The 24,217-nt window shown below is 43.0% G+C and overlaps 1 protein-coding gene and 2 long non-coding RNA genes across 22 annotated transcripts in view; 1 reads left to right on the top strand and 2 right to left on the bottom strand.

Moving 5' to 3' along the window:
- LOC105369559 (uncharacterized) overlaps positions 1-6,548 on the bottom strand; it is an 88,316-nt gene extending 81,768 nt beyond the window's left edge. For all 4 annotated transcript variants that reach the window (XR_007062939.1, XR_001748435.2, XR_948149.3 and 1 more), the window contains exon 1: positions 6,359-6,548. This is a non-coding gene — a long non-coding RNA (uncharacterized LOC105369559). The remainder of the gene's footprint in view (positions 1-6,358) is intronic.
- Positions 1-24,217, bottom strand: part of KIRREL3 (kirre like nephrin family adhesion molecule 3) — a 580,037-nt gene that overhangs the window by 510,733 nt on the left and 45,087 nt on the right. The window lies entirely within an intron of this gene.
- KIRREL3-AS2 (KIRREL3 antisense RNA 2) lies at positions 6,656-11,000 on the top strand. Its single transcript, NR_046986.1, has 3 exons — positions 6,656-6,834; positions 10,226-10,377; positions 10,838-11,000. It is a non-coding gene; the product is annotated as a KIRREL3 antisense RNA 2 (long non-coding RNA).

Here is a 24,217-nt window from a genome sequence, read left to right on the forward strand (position 1 = left end):
TGTGGTGCTGACAAAACTATAGACATATGGACATATAGATCAATGAAGCAGAATTGAGAGCCCAGAATTAAGCTCTTATATTTAGGGATTTTTTTAAAGAAGGTATCAAGATAATTCAATGGAAGAATAGTCTTTTCAACAAATGGTTCTGAAACAACTAGACATTCACAGGCAAAAATATGAACTTAGACCCTGGCCTCATACCACAAGCACAAATTAACCCCAAATTGATATTGACATAAATGTAGAAGCTAAAACTACAAAAATTTTAAAAGAAAATATAGTAGAAAACCACTGTGACTTTGGGTTTTTCTATACACACCAAAAGCACAATCCATAGAATAACATGAAGAATGTGAACTTCATCAAAATTAAAAATTTCTGCATTTGAAAAGACAATATTAGGAAAATGAAAAGAGGAGCCACACACTGAGAGAAAATTCCATGAATCATATACTTGATAAATAACTTGCTGTAGAACGTATAGGAAACTCTTAAAATATAATAATAAGTAAGTAATGCCATTAAAAATGGATGAAATTCAAGAGTATTAACAGACAGTTCATAATGGAAGAAAACATTTGCAAAAGTCATATCTGACAAAGGAATGATATCCAAAATATACAAAGAACTCTTAAAACTCAGCAATAAGAAAATGGCAACTTGATTTTAAAAATGAGCAAAAGACGGCCAGGCGCGGAGACTCATGCCTGTAATCCCAGCACTTTGGGAAGCCGAGGCGGACAGATCACGAGGTCAGGACATCGAGGCTATCCTGGCTAACGCGGTGAAACCCTGTGTCTACTAAAAATACAAAAAATAGCTGGGCATGGTGGCGGGTGCCTGTAGTCCCAGCTACTCTGGAGGAATGGCATGAACACCGGAGTCGGAGCTTGCAGTGAGCCGGGGTGACACCACTGCACTCCAGCTTCCAGCTTGGGCCATAGAGCAAGACTCCGTCTTAAAAAAAAAAAAAAAAGAGCAAAAGACACCACCAAAGATATACAAGCATGTCAAATATGCATATGAAAAAATGCTTGTCATGAGAGAATTTCAAATTAAAACAACAATAAGATACCACTACATACTTATTATAATGACCAAAATCCAGAACACAGGACAAGAGCAAATGCTGGCAAGGATGTGGAGCAACAGGCCCTCTCATTCACTGCTGCTGGGAAGGCAAAATGGCACAGCCACTTGGAAGACAGTGTGGCAGTTAAAAAAAAAAAAAAAAGAAAAGAAACATACTCTCACTATATGTTCCAGCAGTTATTCTCCTTGGTATTTATCCAAATGAGTTAAAAATGTAGGTCCACACAAAAACCTGCACACAGATGTTTATAGTATTTTCATTCACGGTTGCCAACACTTGGAAGCAACCAAGATGACCTTCAGCAGGTGAATGGAAAAATAACCTGTGGTACATCCAGACAACTGGAATATTATTTGGTGTTAAAAAGAACTGAGCTATTAAGCCATAAAAGGCATAGAGGAAACTGAAATGCTTATTACCAAGTGAAAGAAGCCAATCTGAAAAGGCTACACATACTATATGATTCCAACTAGATGATATTCTGGAAAAGACAACATTATAGAAATAATACAAAGATTAGTGGTTGCCAGGGTTTGTGGGGAGGAAGAGATGAAAAGTAGGGCACAGAGGATTTTTAGGGCAGTGAATCTATCCTCTTTGATACTACGTGGTAGATGCAAGTCATTATACATGTGTTCAAACCCATAACATGTACTGCACTAAGAGTGAATCTTAGTGTTAATTATAAACTTCGGGTGGTAATGATGTGTCAATGGAGGTCCATCAGTTGTAACAAATGGGCCACTCTGGCTGGTGTGAGATATCAATACTGGGGGAGGCTGTGCCTTTGTCAGGAGCAGGGTCATATATGGGACCTCTGTACTTTCTGTTCAATCTCTTGTGAGCCTAAAGCTGCTCTAAAAATTAAATCTACATTTTCAAAAATGGGCAAAAAATCTTCAAAAGACATTTCACCAAAGAAGATATACAAATAGCTAATAAGCACATAAAAAACTGCTTAACATCATTAATCACTGGGGAAATACAAATTAAAACCACAATGAGATACCACTTCATACCCACTAGAATGGCTATAATAAAAAAGACAGAAATAACAGATGTTGGTAAGGATGTAAATAAACTGGAACCCTCAATACATTGCTGGTAGAAATGTTAAATGTTACAGCCACTTTGGAAAATAGTTCAGTAGTTTCTTAAAAACATAAATTTACCATATGATCCAGCAATTCCACTCCTAGATGTCTGCCCAAGAGAAATGAAAACATATGTCCACACAAAGACATGTACACAAGTGTTCACGGCAGCATTATTCATAACAGCAACAAAGTGGAAAAAAATCTAAATGTCCATCGACTGGTAAAAGAATATACAAAATGTGGTCTATCCGTACAATAAAATGCTATTCAGCAAAAAAAAAAAAAAAAGCAAATGCATATTGAATGCATATTGATGCATGCTACTACACGGATGCACCTCAAAACCATACTAAGTGAAAGCAACCAGATACAAAAGACCACAAATTGTAAAATTCCATTGATACGAAATGTCCAGAAAAGACAAATCTCTAGCAATAGAGTATAGAATTGTAGTTGCCCACAGCAGTGGGTGGGAATGCAGATGATCTGCAAATGGGCATGAGGGATCACTTGGGAGAGATGGAATTGTTCTAAAACTAGATTGTAGTGATGTCCGAACAACTGTGTAAATTTACTAAAATTCATTCAATTGCAAAGTTAAAACAGTAAATGTGATGGTATGTAAATTATACCTCAATAAAGCTGTTAAGGAATAGCAGATGCTTATTAAGGATGTCAGGAGGGTACACGAATGCAGAGGGCACACACTAAGAACACTACCTATGATTAATTTAACATAACCCCATTACTGGTGAATGTGTCTTTCAGGAATACCTCCTGCTGTTGTTGTATTTATCTAGGACATAGCCTCACACTTACATCAAGCAGAGACAATTGAAGCCACCAAGTTCAATCCAAGCATCATCTCACTGGCAGAATGAAACAGGATAACCTCCAGCTTAGCCAGAAAGAGGATATGACCCGTCAACTAGTACTGAAACAACCACTGCCTTCCAAATGCCTCCCATTTATCTCAGTGTGGGTTAAAAGGCCTAAGCAATATAGTTATCACTTGCCAGTTGACTGGCCTCTCCTTTGTACAAGGGCTTGGATAGGGATAATAACTTACTTTTGTAAAGCACTTACAAAGTGCCTTAACATACACTAGCTCATCTATTCCCATAGCAGCTCTATCAGCAGATGTGGCAGGCGCTCTTGGTTGACAGGCCCCGTCATTATCGCAGCTCCAGTCAAGGACACGTGAGCATACATTTCCTGGAGGAGCTTTGGAGAAAGCTTTTGCCTTACTGATACAATAAGACAGATACTCGGTCTCTTCCTCTTTTCCCTCCTCTGTGCCTGAAACAAGGATGATGCCATAAAAAAACAGCAGTTGGCCGGGCGTGGTGGCTCATGCCTGTAATCCCAGCACTTTGGAGGCCAAGGCGGGTGGATCACGAGGTCAGGAGATCAAGACCATCCTGGCTAACACAGTGAAACCCCATCTCTACTAAAAATACAAAAAATCAGCCGGGCGTGGTGGCAGGTGCCTGTAGTCCCAGCTGCTCGGGAGGCTGAGGCAGGAGAATGGTGTGAACCAAGGAGGCGGAGCTTGCAGTGAGCAGGAATTGCACCACTGCACTCCAGCCTGGGCGACAGAGCGAGACTCCGTCCCACAAAACAAAAAACCAAAAAAAACCCACAGCAGTCATGTTGGTACTGCCAGGGGAGCAGTGGGTAGAAAGGGCCAAGAGAACCCCAAAGAGTCACAGAGATGCTGCTTCTGACATGGGTAAACTGCTGGACCAACTCTGGCAGCATCTCCCTAGAAGCCATGTTAAGAGAAACAAATGAATCCCTACTTGTTTATACCATTGTGGTTGGGTTTTCTGTTTGTTGTTGCCAAACCTATACCTACCTGGCAAAGTAGGAATTATTAGTCACACTTCACAGATGCAAAAAGTTGTAAGTCTTTGAAAAACTCTGCAACCCATCAAACCAACATCAAAATGCCAGCAACTTGCACTCAGTTTCCTGAATTTAATAACAGAGTTAATAACAGCCACAACCACAAAAGCCACCTATTGGGTTCCAAGTGGTGTCAAGGCTCTAATGACACTGGGCACTTGACTGGCATATTTTCTCTAATTCTTACAACTCTGCAGGCTGAGTGTTACTATCTCTATTTTATGGATGAGCACAGTAAGGCTAAGAAAGGTCAAGTAAATTGCTCAAGATCACATAGGTAGTAAGTGGTAGGGCCACCATTCTAAACTGGCATGTGTCTTGCCTGCTATGAAGAAAGCTTAAAGGAATAAAACATACTTCCTAGGATTAGGCAACCAGCTACTCTAGGTCTCCACTGATTAAAAACATTATGTATAGGAAATTAGCAGGGATGATTGCTCGTGGGAGTCAGGTTAGCTAGCCAAACTCATAATATTTGCTTGTGTGTTCCAACTGTCATACTCTAAACTGTAACATAAAGAAAGTTTCTAGACACAATTTTCTTTTCACTGTTTACAACCACTTTTGTATCTTATAGAAATAAAATAGAAAAAACACACACTGATTACAAGATGCACAGTACCTACGAAAATCTCTACAGGATATGTGAGATCAGCTTTCTTCCAGAGAGTGGGTAACAATTAAAACACCAGTTTTTGTCAGCACCAGGCCTAAGGACAGCAGCCTGGAACCCAGAACAAGTAGGATGAGACAGGAGTCTCTAGGTAGAGGGTAAAGATCAGCCTAGGTACCTGCCAGGGAAAAAGCTTCAGTGTGAGAAGGAAGCTCCTAGCTGAGCCCCGCCCTGCCAGGCACACATAGTACGGACCCGCAGTGATGCCTGTTGTTATCAATGTATGGATAGTATTGGTAGTTTCTAGTAGACTTGAGCTGCTGTGGGGGTCTGTGCATGTTGGATTGGACTTAGAGGAGGGTGGTAAAAACCAGTTCAGAGAAATTTGTAGATGTTAATTGCAAACTGCTTTCTCTTCACCAGAAGCAATCTCTCCCTTCTGAGATGGGCAACATCATCTATCTCCATCAGGCCCAATGGGCTGCTCCACCTTCGAGCGCTTAATTAGTTTGTCTTTCTGGATGCTCTGTCCTCCCCCATCAAAGACAAGTAATTGGTTCTCTTAAACATGGGGCATCCAGAACTGATGGAGAAGTCTTTTCAAGGGATCATGGAACTCTGTGCTAGGGAGAAGACAGGCCTCAGATTCTGTCAGGTAGGGTTCTAGATGGTGCTGCTGAGAGGCTACCTTATTTTCACAAGTTCCAATGCTAGCAGGGACTCTCCTGGCCACCTTAAGTGGCGTTTCCAGGAGAAAGGCTGCTCCTCTGGTAGGCTGCAAGCATCACTTCGATTTGTGAGGTAAGACAAAAAGGACAGGTGAACTAGGAGGATCACACCGGTACCTTTGTGAGGAGCAAGCATCTCCCCTTCCTTCAGACTGGGTTGTTTAGACCCAAACTTGCCCTTGGTCCTCCCAAATGCTGCTATTTCCCTCTATATGATTGAGTCAGCATTTCTACTTTATATGAAACTGATATTATAGCAAATCTTATCACCATGAATGTAATGAATCTTCCTGCCAAGTTATCATCTTGTGTCTCTCAGAGGTGTGTCTTCTTTCCCAAGGTCACTCTGGGCAACTTGAGTGAGCCACAGGTTCATACAGGGGCCTTGGGACAATCATTAGGAGAAACCCAGTACAAATAAAAATCTGATTAGACTTTACCTCCTCTGACTTTTCACCACCTCCTCTATCCTACTCTACCAACCTTCAGACTCTTCTAGCTACAGGCTTTCCCAGAGCCCATCTCTGGGGATAAAATGGACTCATTTAGCTCATTGAACAGATCATCAAATGCCCACTCCCCCAAGAAAAGAAGCAGTTTGGACCACAGGCAGGTCAGAATGCCCTAGCACTTCCACAAACAGCCTGCTCTCAAAGGATTGTCAAACGTGCAACAAATCAGTGTTCTCTCATCAAAAGCATCATAACTCATTTAACATTGAGCCTATATCTTTTTAAATATATCCTTTTTTTCTAGATTGGAAAAACAATAGTTGTTTCTTTTTTCTTTTATTTCAGCAGGGTTCCAGATAATAAAAAGATTTATAATTACGCCAGTAGATTTACTTTTGCTATGCCGCCCTAGATTATGAAAAAGTATAATTATATGCAATTAAAAAATGAACAGTATTTCTTACCCGAGTGAAGCTTTAAAAGTCATTATGAATCCATTAGCTCAGCAGACCTTACAAACGGCCTTCACTACTCTGGACTGCATTTAAATTTACAACAGAGAGAAGTAACTTTTCCTCATTTCCACGGTGTGTGTGTGTGTCTGTGGGTGCATGCATTTTCACCCTTCTCAGCCATACCTGGAAGTGGCCATTCATTTTTACATTCTAAGGCCATGTTCTTAGTATTGAACTTGACCACACAGCTCATAATGCTTTAGAAGCCTCCAGCTAGAACACTGAGGAATGACCTCAGAATTCTTCTACTTAGCCTTGTCCCTACCTCTTTACTCCTCTGTAGGCAGTAATTCTTTTTTCTTTTCTTTCTTTTTTTTTTCTTTTGGTGTAACAGTATCGCATGAGCCAAGACTGTCATGAAACTATTTGGATACTGTACTCTGGTTCCTTCATCTCCTCCATCTGCATCAGCCTAAATTGTCCTAGTGAGTTCACTTATGTCTGGGTTACTGTAGATTTGGGTTTTGCTATTACTAGTTGTCTCACTTATCCAGATAATTACCTAGCTTGATTGAAGCTTAGTCTGTTGACTACCAGAAAACAACACATACGGGAGAATTGATCTAGATAATTCAGACACCATTCATGATGTTATTTCAATTGAGCATTCTTGTGTGACAAGAACTGGTAATTATTGAAAATTTCATCTGCATAAAAATACTAGATCTTACCCACAAGTCCATTTCCTCTTGTCTCTCAGTGTTAGACTCACCCTCAGCATCATTTTTGGCAGTGGCCCAGCAGTTATAGTAAAAACAAACAAACAAAAAACCCTCCATTGTCTTTTATTTAACTGGCCAAAATTGCCACCTGATCTCTCCAGTCTCACTGTATTTGTCTGATGCTGTTAGAGCCTTCTCTGTAGTGGCTGCAAGTCTGCTAATAATCAGAATCACTTGGGAAGCAATTAGAAGTATACAGAGATGAGTCCTAACCCAGACTCATGATCAGAAATTCCAGAAGTGGAGCTCAGGAATCTGCATTTTAAAATCACTCACCAGGTGATTCTCAGGCAGCCAGCCTCGCATGGTGCATAAACTGACGTTGACATTCCGGCAGCCTAGACAATGGGTATACTCAGGTGAATAAGAGGGATGGTCTCTTCTCTGGTCATTTTTCTACTCTTACCTCTTCATCCTTTCTTAGTCTTCTGATTCAAGCCTGGATGAATAAGGATTCCTGGAATAGTACAAAATACTTGCAACTCTCGCAGTCTTCCCAGAGTGGGCTGGATGAAGGGTGCTATCCCCAAATCAGGGGCCGTGCCCTGGGAAGGATGGTAGGCCTCCAGGGATCTATCTCAGTGTAACTAACTCCTCAGTGGGCTCAAAACTTTCCCTCTTGCTTTCTAGTTTTTAGGTTTTCTAGTTCTGTTGTGCCCTTTATTCAATGCAAGCCATCAACAAGTTCCTTAAACATAAAACTCTGTGACACTCTAAACTGCAAGACAATGTGACAATGAGTATGCCAGTCTGAAAAGAACAAAGGAGCAGGGTTCAGAAGAACTGGCCTTTACCAGCTCTGTCATTTTCCAGTGGTGTGGCCTTGCAGAGGTCACTTCAGTTTTCCAGGCTTTGGCCAAAGAAAGGTGGGGGCAGGTGGTACCTTCCCAGCTCAAGTCTTCTGGAATAGAGCGTACGCCCATGAAGCCCTGCACCTGTTGGAGCTTCATAGCTGTAATCAAGGTATTAATCTCTCTGAGCCTTAGTTTACTCATTAATAAAATTGGAATAATAGTATTCTCAACCATATAGTTGAGTAAGAATTAAGTGCCTCTAAAACCCCTAGCATCACGCCTGGCACACGGTAAACACTGAGTATCTTTAACATGATGTCATCATCATCATCATCATCATGAAAAACATACTTTCTCATGTTCTAAAGGGCCCAATTCATACTGCCCACTGTATCACTCTGACAAGGTAACAAAGTGACCTCAGAAACCTGGCTAACAAGAGATCAAGGCATAACCCTAGCCATGGATTCAGGGAACAGAAGCTGGCCCTTCTGTGGAAGTCCCGGCTGCCCAGGTCCATGTCGTCCCTGGCTCTTCCAGCTGGAGGGGGTCACTCAAGCACTGTGGAGTGACAGCCAGACAGGAAAGCAACTGCATTTGTCCTAGGAGTCATGTGGCATGTGCTGGATGGCGTTTTGAATAACATTTTAATGAACCAAGTCCTTCAGTGTAATGCAACCTCAGAGGTCTGAACATGCTGGCCTTCTCCCCTGCACTCTTTGTGTGGCCACTCCAAGAGTAGATGCGCTCCCTTGAGGCGCTCCCTTGAGCCCTGGAGCTTGCCGGGGGCAGCCACCCCTTCCAGGATTTCTGCTTTCCATGCAATCTCCCTTTTCCTTCTCTCTCTGAGAACCTCAAAACCAAGTTGTTTGTAAACTCCTCTACAGCCCCAAATGGCTCTGTTGCAAGGCTCGGCTCGTTAACATGCAGGCAGTAAAGTATGTCAGGAGCTCTGATTTGTCATATTAAGGAGGCTATATGACTGTGGAGAGGAACATTAAAAGATTTTATTCTAAGATATTCCCTCCAATCCCCACCCACTGCAGACAAAGTCTCTTGGGACAAGCCTCTGCTTCAGTGCTCTTGATTGCACAGATTTCTGATAAATGTTTTCATCAGTGCCATAGGCCTGGGTGCTGCTCCTGCTCCACTGGGGCCTTCTCTTTGGGGTCTCAGGATTGGCTTTTGAGGTGTTTCTGGGCCTTAAGCAGCTCCCATGGTAAAACATTCACCGTCATTCTTTCTCTCTTCTCACTCACTCAATTACAGTTAAAGCCCTGTTCCAGGGAGGAGTGGAGGGAGACTCCATCTCCACCACGGAACGCCTTACTCCTGGAACTAATCACAGCATTTCTCTACCCTCCTCGGAACAATCTGATACCATTATCACTGACATCATCAAAAGAAGTTCCCTTTATAGATTGCATTGTACAAATAGAATTGCCTAGATGTGATGGCTTTGCCCATTAGGAGTGTACAAGCATATTTACACAACGCCATGGAGCATGGGTGAAGGATGAGCCCAGGACAAGATTAAATCAGCAGACTGAACGATAAATGAACAGTAATGCATTCATATCGAATACATCTCAGAGCATAAGTGCCATCCGGGGTAGAAGGCAGGGAAAGGGCATGACTGCAGGGTCACCAGGGCCAGAATGACTGATGTGAGGGGTCAAGGGCAGGCTTTGCCTCCAGGGAGGCATTAAAGGGCCACCTCCTATAGTGAAAGGAAGGCTGCCACATTTCCCTATGCCCCCTGAGTTTTAGAGATACCCTATTTGAATGAGAGAAAACAAAGTGAGGAAACGGCTAATCTCAAGGTTTAGGAGGTGAGGGGGACATAGTATCATTCGGTTTGGTCTAGGTGGAGACTTCTTAATTTAGATATTGATGCAGTTCGGGACATACCAAAATATGTCACCTTGGCATTTGACAAAACAGCAGAGGCAGGAAGTTTGCTCTCACCTTCCCCTCGCCTTTCTCCCCTGAAGCAGGTGGTAAGATTCTCATTCCAGGTGCCCTCCCTACCCGGAAGAAAGGAAGATCCTTATCTCTGAAGATACCAGGACACAGAGAGGAATCTGAATAAATGGGCCTTGCTAGGTTCCCCAGCTTACCATCATCAGATTACACCCTTTGGTCCTCCTATTATATCTCTCCACCACTGTCCATTCCTCATCAAGTCTAAGCATAGAAATGCACAGGTTTCCCTGTATCTTTGGGTCTTCATTCCCTTAAGAAGGCTCTTGTGTCATGTAAGACTTATATTCCATACGTGTGTGTTTTTCTCTGGTTAGTCTGTCTTTTGTTACAGGAGCCTCTGCCATGAACCCGGGGATAAGTGAGGAAAGAAATTTTTCCTCCTTCACAGTATCAAGTGCCAGGCCAGGGCACTTTGTCCAGGCCTCACTGTGAAGAAAGAGTAATGTTCAAGGATGGCAGCAGGAAGGTGAGAGGATGAAACCAAATGCTCTTGGAGGGCATCGGGCTTGGTTGCCACTGAGAACTTCCAGAAGAGGCACAGCTCAACGCGGGGTGCCAGTAACCGTCATGCCTTCCTGTCCCAGTGGGCTGACTTGAGACAAAGCACAGCTGTGGTCCACGCCTTGAGACTTCCACTGGGCAAGGAAGCCCAAGTGAGGCTCCCCGCACCTCTGCCACCTTCCCCTACACCCACACCTGCAAACCTGGGGAGAGTGACACCAGCCTTCCCCAGCTCCTCTCTCAGTCTAGGCTGGAGCTGACTCGGAGAGAATTGAATTCCCTTCTCCATTGCTCCTGGGGCCGCTAATTCATAGCTGCATTAGCTTTCATTTGGGTAACAGCATGGGGGATTGTCAGATATTGGCTCTGACCAGATTTAATCTACAGGCTGTGTTCTGCCCTCTTTCCACTTGCCTTTCATTCAGGACCCTAATGAAGAGGTTTATCTGATTGGTTTACTGGAGTCCTATGTGGGATGAATAGCTTCAGCCTTTGCGCTTGCACCTCTTTGCTGTCCACTCCAATCAAGAACGGGGGCCCTCGCAACTCTCTCAGTTCTGAAACAAATTAAATCTCAGTGACAGACTCTATCTGCCTCGAGTTCTCCATTATGCTTCGCTTTAGGTTTGCTTTGGCAATGACAAAACTGCTTTGACATATTTGCGGATTCTCAGGCCCGTGTTCTCAGCTCCCCCACCTCCACCTTTCTGCTGTCCAATGTGATTTTTGTAATGGCAAAACCATTGCGATCCTTCTCAGGCATCCCAGTGTCTATAGCTTTTCAGCTACATATCAGCAACATTCAGCCACAAGTGTGGCTCTGACAGGCTGTGGGGGGCAGAGGTGGGAGAATGCCAGAGACTGGGGAGTGGTTTCCTAAGCCTCCTTCCTCACCCTCCTTCCAGCAGTTCACTCCTTTAAAGAGAAATCATTCTCTCCCGTGTCTCCGCAGGTCACTGGAAGAATGTGGCCTGGGGCCCTTCAGTACCATTTAAATCTATGCTTGCAATTTAGCAAATCTTTAGATCTGTTCCCCCAGGCTGTGGGGAAACAGATCTCAGGTTTCCCCTGATGCCTTCAGGGGAAGCTGCAAAACTACCTTCACCCTAATCACCTGCCTCATTAGACTCACAACAGACAGATGTTCCCTCCTCCTTGAGGGCTTCTAACTTAAGCCTTTCTCACCTAAGTTTCCTTATAATGGCGGGAAAAGAGAGGAACAGAATCCCAGGTAGGCCATCAATCATCCTAACGTTGACAACAATAAGCATGTTGACGGTTATAAAGTCTGCGTTTTCCAAGCTTCTGTTAGTATGCTAAGAGTTGCCCTGTTGGAATTAATAATTGCAATGATATTGGTGTTGTAGTCATCACTTGAGGCCTATTAAGGTCCCTTTTAGTTCTAAAATACTGTTCATTCATTGCCTCATTCATGCATTCACCAAACACTGAGCATCCACCATATATCAGAGCCTTTGGTCAGAGTTCCCTGGATGGAAGTCCTGTGGTGACTGCTGCTCCATCTGAGCCCCTTAAAATCTCAGAGACTGAGCTGGGTGTTTTAGAAATTCAGGTAGTCACAAATCCTGACCAGAATGGCTGAGATTTCTGAGCTGGAACCCAGCACCCTAGAACTAAGGCTCAAGCCCCTTGTGAGAACAAGAACCCTAAGCTTAGATGCCAGAATTCAAGTTTCAGTTTTTCCCCTTAAAATGACCCTAAATCCCTTAAAACTGCAAAATGAGTGGTCATGCCCCAGACTGCGGCCTCCAGACTCTGCTACTAGCCAGCCACTCTTGTCATCTGGAAGGGAAGATTTGGTTGCTACAACATGCCACCATACTGGGAGTTGCAAGACCTGGTTTGGTCCTCATGCATTGGATCACCTTACTCAAACCACCTTGGCCTCAGCTTCTTCATTAATAAAATGCTATTAGACTTTATTTACACACAGTTGAAAAAGGACTAATACAAATGCCCATAAAATCTACAGACTAGACTAGATGTTAAGTAAGGTGACTTTCCACTCTAAAACTCTATACATTATTTGATTCATTTATTTAACATATCTTGAGAACATGTTTTATGTCAGTTACTATGATAAGAGCTCATAAAATATGTCCCAATATCCATAACAGGAAGGACATTACTTCATAATAAGATTAAATGGCTGCAAAAAATTCAATGCTTGGATATCCTAATAACAGGTGTAATAATAATCACTACTCTTATTAATTTTGTACTTATCATATGTCAGGCAACAGAGTGAATGTTCTACACAGGTTTTGTTGCAATTTATCTTCACGAAACAACCATATAAGTAGATATCATTGTACATTGTTCAACCACTATTTATTGTGTAACTAGGGTGTGGTGGGCCTTGAACTAGGCATTTGGTATCACCATACAGAGATTGAATGTGCAGGCATTGAGTGGTTAAATAACTTCCTAGGCACACTGCTTGCAAATGGCAGAAAGAACCAGAAATCTTATCCGCTAGGCTCTAGAACCCAAGTTCCTAACTGCTAACTTTCATGCCTACATCAGCTTGGTTTTCATGATCCTCAAAATGTCAGTCAAAGCCAGTGTTTTCTGAATCAATAACTCCCTCCCTCACAGTGTCCTTTTCCAACTTAGCTCCTCTCGTTTATGAGCCAACCATCTCCATGGCAGTCCCCTTCACTATGAAATAGTCGTTTGTATTCTCCAGGCTTCACTAGTTCTCATTTTCAATTGCCACCTGAACACTGCTACTGCTATTTTCTTCTTGTCTTCCACTCTTTGCTCTCTCCTTCACCTCTCCTATAACTCTGCAAAAGATCTGTGAATTGGCTAAGCTGAAGGACTCTACCATAACCTGATTCCAGAGAAGCAAACTGTGAACCCTTTTGAAAACATTTGCTGCACTACTCAGAGCAGACGTAGTGACCAGGAATTCAAGACCAACTTTCAATGAAGCTGGAAGTGTGCCTGTCTTGGCGGATTTAGAAACTGGACAGCCCCTTCCTATCTTGAAACCACATTTGATTTGACAGCGTAGCTAAAAGGAAAAGGACGAATAGTAACTGAGTTGAGTTTTATGTGCACACGGAACATATAAACACAGCTTCAAGATAAAGAACTTTGAGTCAGATTTTCACATGTCATGTGTGAGACCATGCAGCAAACAATAGAGAGATGGGATGGGATAGCTGTTGCAGACTGAGATGGGATTAAAAAGGGATCCCATGGCTTTTCACTTAGCTAAAACAATCTGGAAATGTTAACGTCATAATGCACAGCATCACCTTAGGGAGTTCTCCAAAACAATGGCTGGCTGTTCAGACTAATCAGACATTGGTATAATCTTTGACCTCAGTCTAAATAGGTAGCTCTCAGAATCTGTGTGGCTGTTCATGCTGTCAGGGGCCATGATGCTGGAATGGGAGGTGAACTGGAACTGTGAAGCTACTTGATAAAACATGGTGTTGGGCTCCTTAGGCGTTAACTCAGATATCCCAATTGCTGCTTGGCTACCCCAAAACTCCAACGCACCTCATTATTTCATAAGAGATGTTAAATACAAATTGTTCATTAAAATACATATTATTGGATGTTAAACTACCGTGTAATTGATTTTCTATCCATTGCCTAGTGGTTAACCCTCAATAAATGCTTTTTGTAATCAACTTAAAGTATAATACCTACCACGCTTGATGTCTTTCTCCTTTGATTTAATAAGAAACCAATTCTATATTATTGAAATTGTACTTGATAATGAAAAAGTTGGTCAAATTTCAAGAATAGCATAAAAAAAAAACCTCTTTGGCCTGAACCTGTCCAACTTTATAGAGGGATCTCAGTACAACGGAGAACTCAGGGGAACCTAGGTCCTGTTCCAACCATGGGGTATTAGCTAAGGTCCAAGAGAGTCAAGTGCTATGCTCAGAGCTAAGAGAACAGCGGGGTAGACTAGAAATACTATGCAGGGACTCTTGTTCATAGTGCAATGCCCAAAGAACTAGCATAGTTCTTCCCCAGGGTTATGAGATCAAGAAAACTATGAGGGATTTTAGGCTTCCCAAAAAGCATAAAAAGCAGTTAAGCATTTAAAAGATCTATGGGACTCAGTTTCCTTATTCAGAGCTTGACCAGTGCTCTTTTTTGCTTTCTTCAAAATCTGGCTAGGATTTCCACCTCCTCAGGGAGTCTGCCTTGACTGGATGGAAATACAAGGTGACTGACGCCATCCATAGGGTAAACAAAGTGGTACAATGGTTAGTTCAACTCCAGCAAGGCAGACAGCTGGATATGGGGAGGAGTTCAGAAGCCAGGGAAAGAGATGTGAGCTCACCCTCAAAGCTTCTGAAGTGTCCACATAATCCCCAACCCTACAGCCTCCAAAACATAATCCCATATACATATACCATATAACATGCTGGGCTAGGAGAAGAATGCCTGAAAGAAAACATGCACTGCTCCAGGAAAAGCACCAGGCACAGAGCAAGTGTTTAAAATGTTAGCCATTCTTGGCTTTTTATATTAATGTTTATTATTCTACAACATGATTTTTAATTTGCTTAAATAATCTCCTGACTAATGGACATTGAGAGGAATATTATACAGTTATTTATTCATTCATATATTGCCTCAGCTTTCTAAATATGAATTTGCTGGGTCTACAGGTATGATTTCTGGTGAGCTTTTAAGACATGGAACTCACACTCTTACTAGAAGTGCTGTACAGAAGCAGCGCATGAGATCATTGTGGTTGGGTGATCTCACCATGTGGTTACCATGGCCTAGGAATCTTTGTGAGGTGGTGGGTCTTCTGTCAGGGGGAGGTAGAAAGAAGCAGCAGAATGACTCTTTATCAGAACTGCTCTAAAGGGACTTTATGTGATTAGTAGGCTTTGGACCCTCGCATCCTTTCCAGTTCTGAAATGTTCTGATTCATAGGCTTCTGGAACACAGAGATGCTCATGCACATGCCCCTCCCCATGGAGGGACACAAAGATGCATTTCCGCCTGGAAGCACGACAGGCTGCTAAGCTTTTTGCCTGGATGCTCTCACCCTTGGAGATCAGAAGCTGAGCATCTCTCCATTCAGCCATCAACAAAAGGGAGAGATTGCCTGAGCAGCATGCTGTTGTTAGACAAATCGGAATCCTCTTCTAGAAAGGCATTCTCTTCTGCATAGTGAGTGGGAAGCCTGCTGTATCTAGGACACGTTCCCAAAATAAAATTCAGTGGTCACCAACTGACTCAGTGTAGGAGACTTCATTCTCCAAGAGAGAAGGGCTGCTAAGAATGGCAGGAACCACCCACAGATGGTCTGGGTACCAGTTGCATCAACAGATGCATACACAACACAGCCCTTTCCTCTAAAGCATCCAGCCAAGCTCACATCGAGTTCTCCACTGTGTACATTAAAACCAAAATAAATAATCCAAGAAAATCTGCACGTCTGTGTGTTTAGGGTTCAAGATGAATCAGGCAATAGGCCAAAAAGGAATGTAAGACATTTGACCACTATTTTTTTCTTCCTTGTTTTTTTTAAATGGAAACCTAAGCATTAGATCACTTTCCACCCTTAAAATATGCAAGGATGGCCAGGCACAGTGGCTCACGCCTATAATCCCAGCAATTTGGGAGGCCGAGGCAGGTGGATCATGAAGTCAGGAGATAGAGAACATCCTGGCCCACATGGTGAAACTCTATCTCTACTAAAAATACAAAAATTTAGCCAGGCATGGTGGCGAGCACTCCCAGCTACTCAGGAGGCTGAGGCAGGAGAATCACTTGAACCTGGGAGACGGAGATTGCAGTGAGCAGAGATTGTGCCACTGCACTCCAGCCTGGCCACAGAGCAAGACTCCATCTGAAAACAAAAACAAAAACAAACAAACAAACAAACAAAACCAAAAAACATGCAGGGACACCCAATGTCTACAATACCAAGGCTGACCTCTACGGGCAGGCGGTAAAGATCTTTCAGAATCTGGCCCCATTTACCTAACTCATTACTTATCTTGGAAATGTTACAGTTCATCTGGTAACAATGGTGTCCCATTGTTCATTCTTATTTTTGACTTCAGGTCCCTACTCATGCCTAGTGCATTACAAAAGACATTTTTCTTCTCCATGTAGAAAGTTACATTCTCCTTAATGTGGATGCCTTCACCAACTGCTGCTCCCTTTCTTCTCCCATTGTACATCACACAGATGAAGGAGGAGGTGGAGAGCCACCTGTCTGCACTCCTAGCCTGGGGATTCTGGAATGCTAGAACAGCTTCTTAAGAGTCCCATTTGCATAGAGCACCAAAGCTCCTCATTAGAAAACTGATGAAGAAGATTAGACTGAAAGGTCCTTTGAGGGAACAAAGATTAATCCTCCCAAATAAAGGGGAGTTTCTAAGAACAACCCAGTTAGAGAGATTATTTCTGCCCCAAGAGGGCAAAGAACTTACTCAGAGGTAGGACAAAGATCAAAGACATGTGTTCTGTTAAGAAAAAAAACAGTTTCTGGATGTGGACAGCAGACAGAAATGTTCCCAAGTTCTTAACCCAATCACATCTTCCAAGCCCCTTTGCAATGTATCGTCAGATAATCCCAGGCTCTGGAGGTTAGGATGTGGATATCTTTTGGGGGGCCATCATCTCTCTACCTGCCATGTGGGATAAGGCACACATAGTAATAAGGATAGCTTCAGAAAAGAGGAGCCTGCACCTTTTGCTTTAAGACAAAACAGAAGAAACAGAAAAGGCCTATCAACCTAGAGACCTGAGATTGAAAAGATAGGCGAGTACATCCGTTGAGATGCTCTGGGTATTTGATAATGGACTCTCATATTTTTACATTTTCTCTAACTAGAACATATGCTTTAGAGGGGTAGAAACCATGTCTTACATTTTCCAGTTTATTGCCTGCAGCATCTGGCTCACTGAAGGACACACCGTAGATGCTCAGTAATGTCTCACTGATCAGTGTGAGAAGGAGGTATCAGGAGGAGATTATCGGGGGTATCTGCTGCTGGAGATGGTTGTATTCTGCTTAGGAATGATACAGAATAGCAGACAATCCTGAATAGGAAGAATTTATTGTGTCAGGGGGACACCAGGGTATAAGGCTGAGGCCCCAATGAGAAATGCATGCCTACTTCCTCCTTCTCTTCATGGAATGAGTAATTGAACTTCAAGTGTCAGGCATTAAGCGAAGACAGCTGTGGCAATCATTTTGTTAATATATGAGATGCTGGAGCCAAGGTAACCAGAAAGAGAACCAAGCCTTTGAGTGACAGAAACAAAGGCAGGAGCCACCAGTCGCTGGGTCCAACTAGTCCTGCAAAGAGGCAGATGAATTGGCTAAATGCTCCCTGGAAAACCTTTCCACTTTACTGAAATCTGTAGTGATGAACTTATTTCAAGAAAAGAAGCAATTGACCAAGGGAAAGGGAAAGAAGAATGGAAATTATGCTTTAAAAAAGATCCATGATGAGCCAGAGTTCAAAATTACTTAGGAGAAATAGATGTGTATTCATCATATAGATCTGTCTTGGAAAGGACAGAAAAAAAGAGAGGAGATAGAGGAAAAATGAGGGCTTAAGAATAAATAGAGTTTTGGCTGGGCACGGTGGCTTACGCCTCTAATCCCAGCGCTTTGGGAGGCCGAGGCCGGTGGATCACCTGAGGTCAGGAGTTCGAGAGCAGCCTGGCCTACACAGTGAGACCCTGTCTCTACCAAAAATACAAAAATCAGCTGGGTGTGGTGGCACATGCCTGTAATCCCAGCTACTAGGAGGCTGAGGCAGGAGAATCTGTTGAACCTGGGAGGTGGAGGTTGCTGTGAGCTGAGATCATGCCACTGCATGCCAGACTGGGCGAAAGAGCAAGACTGTCTTGAAAAAAAAAAAGAATATTCATATCCTTCACACATTTTTTGATGGGGTTGTTTTTTTCTGGTAAATTTGTTTAAGTTCTTTGTAGATTCTAGATATTAGCCCTTTGTCAGACGAATAGATTGCAAAAATTTTCTCCCATTTTTTAGGTTGTCTGTTCACTCTGATGATGGTTTCTTTTGCTATGCAGAAGCTCTTAACTTTAATTTGTCAGTTTTGGCTTTTGTTGCCATTGCTTTTGGTGTTTTAGTCATGAAGTCTTTGCCCATGCCTATGTCCTGAATGGTATTGCCTAGGTTTTCTTCTAGGGTTTTCATGGTTTGGGTCTTACATTTAAGTCTTTAATCCATCTTGAGTTAATTTTTGTATATGGTGTAAGGAAGGGATCCAAAACCACGATGAGATACCATCTCACGCCAGTTAGAATGGTGATCATCAAAAAGTCAGGAAACAACAGATGCTGGAGAGGATGTGGAGAAATAGGAATGCTTTTACACTGTTGGTGGGAGTGTAAATTAGTTCAACCATTGTGGAAGACAGTGTGGCAATTCCTCAAGGATTTAGAACCAGAAATACCATTTGACCCAGCAATCCCATTACTGGGTATATACCCAAAGGATTATAAATCATTCTACTATGAAGACACATGCACATGTATGTTTATTGCAGCACTGTTCACAATAACAAAGACTTGGAACCAATCCAAATGCCCATCAGTGATAGACTGAATAAAGAAAATGTGGCACATATACACCATGGAATTCTATGCAGCCATAAAAAAGAATGAGTTCATGTCCTTTGCAGGGATATGGATGAAACTGGAAACCATCATTCTCAGCAAACTAACACAGGAACAGAAAACCAAATATCACATGTTCTCACTCATAAGTGGGTGTCGAACAATGAGAACACATGGACACAGGGAGGGGACATCATACACCGGGGCTTGTTGTGGGGTGGGGGGCTAGGGGAGAGATAGCATTAGGAGAAATACCTAACGTAGATGAGGAGTCGATGGGTGCAGCAAACCATCATGGCATGTGTATACCTTTGTAACAAACTGTACATTCTGCACAAGTATCCCAGAACTTAAAGTATATATATAAAAAAGAATAACTAGAGTTTTGTTCATCTTTTCATAATAAACGTGCTGATAGTTCCAAAGAGAAGAGCCTGCAAAAAAGATCATGGATGCAAATGTGGATCAAATACACACACACACACTTGGGAGAGATAGAGAGACAGAGAGAGAGAACGACCAAGTACGATGACAAGATAAAAAGGCTGATTGCTGACAGAAAATAATCAAATCGTTCTCCAATTTTTTGCAAAAGAGTAATTCTGACACATTTAAACCACAGACTAGCAGGAAAGAGTTTTCATGATTTCTGCCTCTCAGAGGTCTCTCAAACAGCTTTTCTGATATACTGTTTTTATATAAATTCTGCAGTGACTTTTCCCTGGTGTTATTAGTTGTTTGGGTTTTTCTCTGCCTACCACCCGCTTATTTATGTTAATCTGATTTAGATCTTTTCTTTTCCCCTTTCTTTCTTTGCTGAGGCTAGATTTCACAGGGCAATCTGCTGAGTGACACAACGACAAGATGCACATCTGTCAGAGGTGTGAGCCTGTGTGTGTGTGCACAGGGGTGTGTGTGCACATGCGTGTGCATGTGTACATGCGGGGTCTAATTCTCCCCAGGGTCGGTCTGTGAGCGCCTCTAATACCCTATGTGGTTTCTTGAGATTTCCAAATGAGTGAGGTGGGGGGTGGTATTGAGGTATTGAGGTCATCACTTATAGGTAAGTACTGGAGGATGTAGCGTTAGCTGCTGCCTGGACTCAAGGATTATAGAGGAATTCTGGGAAGCTTTCATCAGGCCTCTTAAAAAAAAAAAAGCCCTGCCTCACAGTTGACATTTTATTTTATAGTCACGTTAGAGTTGAGTTCAGACTTATTTTGTGCTATTATAGCCGATTGATTATTTATCACTTCAATGAAGAATTTATTGATTTACTTAATATTCATTGCTGATAACATGAAGGATCTGTAAATTACAAATCATCTGGGCCCTCAGAAATGCTTAATTATGCCCTGCCTTTCTTGTTCCTCCTGTCTATCTCCCTCCTCCCCATCCCCTCGTCCTCCTCTAGGCCTTTATCCAAGCTGGGTAGAACAGATGGCCCAGAAAGCGCAAACCCACCTTGTCTGTGATGAAGGTGAGAGCATCTTCCCAAACCCTACAAGATGGCTTGATTCACAACACTATATTTCAACCTAGGAAGCACCCTTAGAGGTCATCTAGTAGAATATCACAGGCAGTTCATTTTAACAGTAGTCATATATTGAGTTCCTACCGTGGTAGGCTTCATCCCTGTAGATGGCCTGGCTTACCCTTGAACAACTTTATCAGAAAGTTTTTTCTCATAGAAGGCAGAAATTTATCTCCTGGAGTGTTCACCTATCATCATACGGCAAGCAGCAGCTCTTAGGTAATGAAAGCAGAAAGAAGACGCACCTCAAACATACTGTGTGGGCAACAACTCTGTCTCTTGCATTCCCTCTCCTTGTCACATCTGACCAGTGGTTCATACAGATGTGTTACACGTGCCCTAGCTCAGCTGAGGCTGAGAGGCTGGCTGAAGCAGGAAGAACTGACCCTCTCTCTACACTGGCCTTGCTCTGATGATGTTTGTGCCCTGAAGGCCACATCTGCCTGAGGGGGTACTGCTGCAGGCGTGTGGCTTTTCACTGTGGGCTTCCTAATGCAGTAGGTTTCAAGCATGAATTAGGGGAAGGGGCCAACAGGGTAACGTGGTAATGAAGGAGATGGCAAAGTGAAAAGCAAGTTGCTTTAACCCTGAAAGAAAGTATTTCTCTAGCAAACAGCAATGCTTTGAAAGCAATTGACAGAAAGCTGGCTTAATCCTTGTTCTGGAGATACTTACAGCTGCCCGTGGTTTTTAATTAATACACTGGGCTCCCTAACAAAGGGGAGGAGGTTGGAGAGCATTAACAGATTTACTCACCCAAGCCAAGGAAAGTGCTTTGGAAGAAATGCCCTGGCCGCCCATGGGCCGGGATCTTCCTAGCCCTCCCTTCCCTGCATGGCAAGGCACGAAGGTGGTCTGATGTGGATTCCAGGGTGAAGGTGGTTTGTCCTCCAGTGTGTGTTGGCCAGGGAGACTTCCTTGCTGCATTCTATCTCACTCCACCCCAATCCATTCTTTCCTTCCATCATTTGCTCCCTCAACCACACATATTTATTAAGTAGCTACTATACACAGACCAGGCACAGTGTGTGAACTGAAGAACTACATTTATACCAAAGGCTTGAGCTAGGTGTTTTAATGGGATCTAAAAACGAACATGATGCTCGTCCTCAGAAAGCTTAGCTCTAGTGAGAGAGAAGCATTCAGGGCTGATGTTCTGAATGGCAGTGCTGGGTTCTTACTGCCCGTTTCCATTCTGATTGTATCTGTTTTGATTGGTCAGCACCACTGATGCCCCAGTTCTTAAGTATTTTTAATATTACCCTGGAAACATGAATTGAATTACACAACAAAATGCAAAATGTTAAACGTTCTATGAAAAAAGGGACAGGGAACAATGGGGCCATGTTGCCTTCAGGGACCCATTGCTGGGCTCTCAGGGTTGTTTTCTGTCATTGAGTGACACATATGCCCACCTGCTTGCAAGTCCTGCATCCCATTCCTACCAGCTTCCTAGACTCTGCCGCCTCTCTACTTCAGTCACTCATCTCTCTTGTTCATTCATTCATTCATTCGTTCACTTACTTACTCAACCAATGAGCACTTGCTGAAGGCCAGGCATCGAGCCGTGCATGGGAACACGATGCTTCCTCCCCTTCCCAATGCCTCCTGGACTTTTCCTAGAGACTCCGCTCAGCTCTCCTTCTTACTCCTTCCCATGGAGGGATCTTTCTCCTTTGGTTAGCGAATCTGATGTCAGAGTCATTCCATCTGACAAAGTCTCTCCTCGTCTGAAACTCCCTGTCTCCTCATATCTTCATCAGTCCATTTCCACATGTCTAGTCATTTTAATGGCATATGGTTCCAGGGGGAAACTCCAAATGAGGGAAAATTAGCAACTGTGCTTACTGGGCTAAAGAAAATGACTGGAGAGGAAGTTTTCTTTAGAAATATCCACAAGAAGCAGCAGCCCAAGGAGACGTGACTCCAGTAAAAATGATGATTTTTGTTAGGGGTGGTAGTCGGGGTGGATTATCAATCGCATTTTCTTTCCCCTGGAATGTGTCACAGTCATTAATTTGTTTAATTTATTTTTGCCTCTTCCCTAGTGAAGCAGCCCAATCCACCGTCTGCCTACCCATCAGAACAAATTACACTTTGGAAATATCCGAGTGCTTCAGTTTTCCATTAAATATAATAAGAAACCACAATGCACCGTTATGGCCTGCTGACTCCTTGCCAAGGATCTACAAGCACTTTTTACAACCGCTGCCAGGCAATTCTGGTTGTCACCCTTGGTGACACAGAGGCGCGAAAACAGGTCCAGGATCACCAGGCCCTGTTTTAATTTGCACTCGTGTGCACGCCTCTTGGGTTGTGTTCTTAATCTGCTTCACATGCACGCGATCTGATTCTGCAGCACAGTTCCAAAGTCTTCATACAGGAGACACATGTCCTGCTTCTATGGTGTCTCCCCACTGTGCCAGAGCCAATGACTGCTATTGACTGATGAATTAACAGAGTTCAGCCCTGTGAGGACACAGCTAGCTCGTGGCTCATGAAAGCTGGCCTTCCAACTTCCAGCCTCTTCTACACATCACAAGGCTCAAATGCTCATCTTTCTTCTTCCTCTGACTCTCTGGCTGCTCCCTTATAATCAGCCATTGCTCAGGTCGTGAAAACTGCTCATGACTGCAGTTCAGTCTGTCCTAAGGAACATTGCTAATTGATGATTACATTTCATTTTCAGGATGTTATCTTACTTGGGCAGGTTGGAAATTGAAATGTCCAGGGGTTACACATATGGTATATATGGCTCTTTCAAGTCAGAGATTAATTGTTGAGTATTAATATTTAATTTTTTATTGCAAAAGGCTTGTCAAAGGCTGCCACGGGAAGGTGAGAGCTCAGATCCATCCTACCTGATATTCAGCGTCCTCAAGAATAGAGCCTCTAGCACTGCCAGCTCTGCAATTTCTAAGTCAAAGAAGGAGCAGTCTAGTGAGTTGGACTATGGCAGTCTAGTGAGTTCTTGGATGGGAGAAGTTTCTAAGATGAAGGAGGCAGGGTTGGACGTGTTGTAGGGAGTAGGTGACCTGTTGAGTCAGTGCTGACCTCTGCCTGGACAGGAGAGAGCTCTAAGGTCAGGTCACCTTAACATCTGTGTACACAGACAGTTAGGCATAGGCGGAGAACCAGATGTCTGGTGTCAACAGAACTAGATGTCTGAAGACCTGGGTTTGGTGCCAACTTTACCATTCACCAACAAATCATCTCAAGGAACTTCTGTTTTCTCTTCTGTAAAATGGTCAGGGTGCCATCTATCTCAAGGGCTGCTGTGCCATTCAGTCATAATACTGTTCAATTGTGTGTTACTTTGCAGTTTTCAAGGCACAATGAAAAATGGGGATCCTCTATCATCTTGAAAGCCTTACAGATTCTGATGAGGTCAGGTGGATCGAAATTGTAGCTTTGTTGCACTATAACAAAGGGTTACTAAAAGAGTTAAAGGAGATAATGTATGTACAACACAGTGCCTGACACTCAACAAATGTTAACTGATTTCTTCTAGTAGTTGCAGTTTAAAAAATAATAATAAAAGGATGTCTGGGAGTGTGACTATGAAAGAATAATTGTGTAATTGTGACCATTAGTTAGGCACAAAGACAGGACATTGGAAACATGGAGATGTCCCCAGAGGAGCCCAGATCCTAAG

Source organism: Homo sapiens, chromosome 11 (genome assembly GCF_000001405.40).
Source record: "Homo sapiens chromosome 11, GRCh38.p14 Primary Assembly".
NCBI classification, from domain to species: domain Eukaryota; kingdom Metazoa; phylum Chordata; class Mammalia; order Primates; family Hominidae; genus Homo; species Homo sapiens.